Source organism: Homo sapiens, chromosome 5, assembly GCF_000001405.40.
Source record: "Homo sapiens chromosome 5, GRCh38.p14 Primary Assembly".
Lineage (NCBI taxonomy): Eukaryota > Metazoa > Chordata > Mammalia > Primates > Hominidae > Homo > Homo sapiens.
The window spans coordinates 122154448-122160175 of record NC_000005.10 but is presented as its reverse complement, the minus strand read 5'-3'; the positions used below and the strand labels follow the sequence as shown (position 1 = coordinate 122160175).

Genomic DNA, 5728 nt, shown 5'->3' with positions numbered 1-5728 from the left:
GAAGAAATGACACAGGCAGTTGGATATTAGTAGTCCAGCGGTCAGCATCATCAAGGGGTAGTTTGTGAGGTCAAGGCTGGTTTTCATGACATCAGCACAGCTGAGGAGGTGAACTAGGACCACTGAAGATTATTAAAAAGGTCGGATCTACAAGTAGGATCCCACTGAAGGTTTCATCTACCACCTCCAAAGAAGCGGAGATCATAGAGGGAAATAATTCTAAAAGACTTAGTCTTTTTTTTTTTGAGACGGAGTCTCGCTCTGTCGCCCAGGCTGGAGTGCAGTGGAGCGATCTCGGCTCACTGCAAGCTCCGCCTCCCAGGTTCACGCCATTCTCCTGCCTCAGCCTCCCGAGTAGCTGGGACTACAGGCACCCGCCACCATGCCCGGCTAACTTTTTGTGTTTTTAGTAGAGACAGGGTTTCACCATGTTAGCCAGGATGGTCTTGATCTCCTGACCTCGTGATCCACCCGCCTCGGCCTCCCAAAGTGCTGGGATTACAGGCGTGAGCCACCGCGCCCGGCCTCTAAAAGACTTAGTCTTGATTTCAGGAGCTCAGTTTTAACAGAAGGCATGAAGAGACAAAGGACTAAGAAGGTTCTTAACATTAATCTTTTTCTATCTCTTTATACCTCTCTCTTTCTCATCCGATAGGCTTGATAAGATTGCCCGATATTTCATCGAGAAAATTTGAGATACAAGCTAACAGGTAGTATTTACCTTATCTCCCCACTAATAACCTACAGGCTTGCCTTCATCTGTGTTCATCACTCTCCTGAAACAAAAAAATTGCCCTCTCCTATCGAAGACCTTCCTTCTGCACACACTGGTGATCCCATCTCCTGGTGCCTATTTTTTTTCCAGGTTTTGCACTTTCTCTGATCACCTCTCTTGCTTCTTCAACCTCCTTTTCTCCACTGGATCATTATTCTAAGCATTAAAACATAATCTAGAAGCTCCCACCTTTTAAAAAAAACCTCTCATCCCAGTATCTCTATTCCTAGCCAACCTACTATTTCTCTTCTAGTCTTCAAAGCCATACTTCTCAAAACACATTCTATCTTTATTCTCCATATGCTCTGCAGCTCTCACCACTGCACTGTGTGCTTTCCAAGGTTAGCAGCTGCATCCACACTGCCAAATTAAATATTTTTTGGTCCTCATTCTACTCAACATCTCAGTATAAAACACTGTTTTCCACGCCTTTATTTAGAACATTTGTCTGATCTCAGCTTTCACGGCACCCTACTCTAGGCCTTTCTCTTGCATCTCCAGACCTTCATTCTCCAGCTTCTTCCCCTCTAGTCCCTAAATATTGTATCTCAGGGCTCAGCCCTGGGCCGTTTTTCTATCTGAGTATTCATTCTGATTGCTTTAAATATATGTTTATAATGCACAAATGTATATCCCAGCCCAGTCCTCCCTTCTGAGTTCCAGACTCATAGATCCAGTTTAAGTCAAATATCTCATATGCATTTTGAATTTGATAAGGCCAGAATTAAACTATAGATCTTACTTCCCCAAATCCAACCCTTCCACAGTCTTCTTCATCTTAGAAAATGGTACTACTAGTGCAGTTGCTCAAGCTAGAAATCTGGGAGTCATCCTTGACCCTCTTTCTTACCCTCCACATCCCAACTATCACCAAGATCTGCCCATTGTACCTTATCTTTATCTCTGCTACCAACATGATATGCCAAAGCATCACCAGCTCTCACCTGGGTTCCTGCAGTAACCAAACTACTGATGTCCCTGTGTTGACAGAGCAGCTGGAGGAAACTATGCTACCTCTTCAGCCTCATCATGTGCCTGTTCCCTCTCTCATTAGGCCCTGGCCACATGTGCACTCTTTCACTTCATTATAAGATCTTCCTTACCTCAGGACCTTCATACATGCTGCCATTGATCCGAATGTCTTTTTCTCTAACCATTCCCTTCCTCCACATGTTTCCTCTTGGCTAGTGCTTTCACACCTTTTATGTCTTAGCTGAAATATCTTCCTCCCACAGGTTTTCTCTAGCCAAGATCCTGAATGTTTGTCTTCCACCATTCCACACTGTCATATCACAATTTTAAATTGTATATTTTTTAAAAATTCCATATGATTTCCTCAATAGGACTACAAACTCCAAGAGGTCAAGAACTGTGCCTATATTTTTATGACTCTATATTTAGTACTTCATCCAATGCCTAATGATAAGTATTAATGAATGAATGGAATTCTGTCCTCTTCTTCCTGTCTAACACTCACAGGTCGGCAGGGTAGCGACACCCATTTTTTATATCACTTCTATGCCCCTTTCACAGTGACATGAAAATATATGAATTTTTGGAATTAGACAGAATGGCTCTGACAGCCACTTGCGAACCCACTGTATGACTTTAAGCAAGTTGCTTAACCACAATCTCCCAACCTGGAAAGTGGGAAAATAATGTTTATCTTATAGTAATATAATGAGAATTAAAATGACATCAGGTATATAAAATGCTAATCATAAGGTGCTGTGGTTTCAATGGTGGTGTCTCCTCCAAAATTCACAGTGGATCTTACTTCCTAGTGCAACAATGTTAAGAGGTGTGGCCTTTGTGAGGCGATTAAGCTGTGAAGGCACCACCTTCATGAATGGGCTTCACACCCTTATAAAAGGGATCAAGGTTAGAAGAGGGAGCACCCTTCTTGCATTTCCATCCCTTCCACCACAGCATTTCTCCCCTCTGGAGGATCTAGCAACTAATTACCATCTTGGAAGTAGAGCATTCCTCACAAGTTCATAAAAATCCTGCTGGTACCTTGATTTCGGACTTCCCAGCCTCTGGAACCATGAAATATAAATTTCTGTTCTTTATAAACTACTCAGTCTTTGGTATTTTGTTATAGCAACACATATGGACTAAGACATAAAGGCATTCAGTAAAAGTTAGTTGCCTGTCTTCCATGCCTTCCCCCAAACTCCAAATTCTTCTTACCTAATAGATACACATGCAGAATTTGAAAAGATGAGAATATCCTGCCCTCATGTGTTTTTCTGATTATGCTCTTCCCACTGTGAGTTTTGCCTGTAAAGAATAAGATACTTAGCCAGAGAAGAACATTTGTAGCTTTAAATCAAATATGTAACTCTAGCACTAAATAACTGGAGTTTATCTAATAAGGGCACCTTCTCAAATACATTTGGGGATGACACAAAGGAGGAAAAAGTCAATAATATTATTTGATAGCACAGAACACATTACTTTAAAAGAAAACACCAGATGGCAGCACCAGATGCTGGAGATGTGTCTGATGGGGCTTTAGCTCAAACCTGAGGACTGAGGATGCTGAAAGTAGCTTAAAACTGTGTTTAGAGAGACAATCATTTATAGAAAAGATAGTTCCCCTTAAGAAAAATAATACATATTTTGCAATATAGAACAAGGTTTTTAGGAACAGCGTTTCAAATGTTACAAGTGAAATCCTAGGAAAATAACCCCAAGCCTTACCTAATAAAAACTTATTAGACAAAAGCTTCATTCTGGTTTATAGTTAATTAGCTCTCTTCTGTTCCAATTAGCTTGAAAGGGCCTAAAGCTAAAGAATGAGTTACAATCAGCTTCTAAAAACAGGCAAAATTTTATCAACTATTAAATGCAAATATTAAAATTTATTCATTCACATTAAAATAAGAATAATTACTTCTATTATATCCCTCAGCATAGCTTAGAAAATAATTTACTAAAATGACATCAAAGAATCTCATTAAATGTATGTGATATTAAAATTTAAAATATTAATATATAGTTTGATCCATATTATGAATCAAAATTTTGTCTGCAATTGACACCCCTTTTAAATTTTTGCTAAATTGGTATTACCCATCTAGGCTTTTCTTTTAGAGGAAAGAAAGGAAGTGTGCTGCTGCTCATTACACCATGAAATACATAAACACAGTCCCAGGACCATCCCACCTTTTAAATAAAAATCCACACTGAAGGTTTTATTCCTCTTAAATACTGTTTAGTGTCCTTCACAACTTTCCCGGGAGATCAGGAAGAGTGAGTTCAGTGCTATACTTTGGATGTGAAACAGTGAGACAATTTGAGCCAACATATTGGTTAGAAGGCAATGCAAAATGCCCACTGAGATCTTGGAGCAGAGCTTGTCTAATCGGTGTTTGTGTTTAGATTTGATAGAAGGATCACAGGAGCATCTGTATCATAAGGGACCTGAGCCAATCTATTTTGGAGAAACATTCTGAGGGAAAGGTAATTCATTCTGCCAGTGAAACAGTGACTGTGGGGTCACTGGAGTGAATTGTTTTCCAAGTACTATGATCATAGTTCCGAAACTGTTTCTCTCACCTGAATCCACTACAAGATTGAACCCTGTGAGAACATAAGGCACGATAGCTGATTCTAATCTGAAATCAGACCAAGGATTCCGGGGGGAAATCTGAATTGTAAGAAGGAATGTGTGAGAGTCACAGGCTGCCAAAAGTCAGCTTTCACAGACAGATGAAATTCTGAAATCTAATAATCATTAGAGTAGTGTTCTTTATGGAAAATGAGTAATTCACAGCACTAAAATTTAAATGATAGAAAAATATCTATAGGGAGGATCAAATCATAACTAAACTACACAGTGAAGGAAAGGCTTTCTGCTGAAAGCACTATGGAAGGGTAAATATCTTCTCTAAGAAAGGGCTAAAGCCCACTGCTTTGAAAGTTCTTATGCTCCCTGGAAGCCTAAGAGCTTTCTCCTTCATAACTAACCCAAGCTTGTTTTAAGCCTGGCAGCCAAAGGGTCCCTATGTTGGATGACCCTTCTATGCCCTCTACTGAATCTTGTGTGGTCCCCAAACAGGCCAGCACACATCTGACAGTGGTCGGGGCCAATTTCCCATTCACATGTGTGTTCTCAGGCCTGAGAGCAGGGTTGGGTGTGCTCTGACATAGTCATGTCCTCTAGACCGCCTCCCCCTACTCTTGTCTAAATGCATAAGTCGAGTCACTGAAGGGCCATCGCTGGCCTCTCCTGACATTCTCCCCTCCAGATGACCGGGTGAGTCAGGAAGGTGTTTCCTCGGGAAGCTGGGGGCCCAAGCCAGCCAGTTTCAGCCATCGTTACTGAGTAAGAACATGCTGTGCTCAGCCTGTTGGCTCCACTCTTGAGCACAAAGTATGTGTTACAACAACAAGCACAAGAATACTGACCACACGCTTCCCTATCTCTAGATCTGTAATGAGAACATTTGAAGTAAATACATACAATCAAGAAACAGTTCTGTAAGGCAGAAATTGAACAGAGTTTCTGATTTGTAGCCCTGAGACACAGCTTCTTGTACTCTGTGAATCCAGACCCCACAGGTTATGGAAGAAAAGCAACAGACAGAAGATGGGAAAAACAGGTCACGTTTATAAGACCAGCTTGAAGACCATGCCACACTGAGGAGTTTGGTTTTTCGTTAGGCAAAGAAACTAGCTGTTTTTTCTTCAATGTTCATCGGAAAACTTGCCCAGCAGCTGTGAGTGACTCTTCAGCTTTCGAATCATTGTCTTGGAATCTTCTAAACCAGTAAGACCATACTTATTTTATTTTAAACATGGAATTTAGGAGCAAAGGACTAGACAGTCCTCAAAGTAATAAAATAAAAAAGAAAGAAAAATCATATTAGAAATAAAGAATGCCGCCTCCCCAACCAATTCCTTTGGTTTAATCTTTTACAATAGCTTGGTATAATCTTCGTTTTC

The 5728-nt window shown here is 40.6% G+C and overlaps 1 long non-coding RNA gene across 1 annotated transcript in view; it reads left to right on the top strand.

Annotated features, from left to right (window-relative positions):
• The first annotated feature begins 5281 nt into the window (after positions 1 to 5281).
• The window catches only part of ZNF474-AS1 (ZNF474 antisense RNA 1), a 41478-nt gene continuing 41031 nt past the window's right edge, over positions 5282 to 5728 (top strand). The window contains exon 1 of the long non-coding RNA XR_007058915.1: positions 5282 to 5552. This is a non-coding gene — a long non-coding RNA (ZNF474 antisense RNA 1). The remainder of the gene's footprint in view (positions 5553 to 5728) is intronic.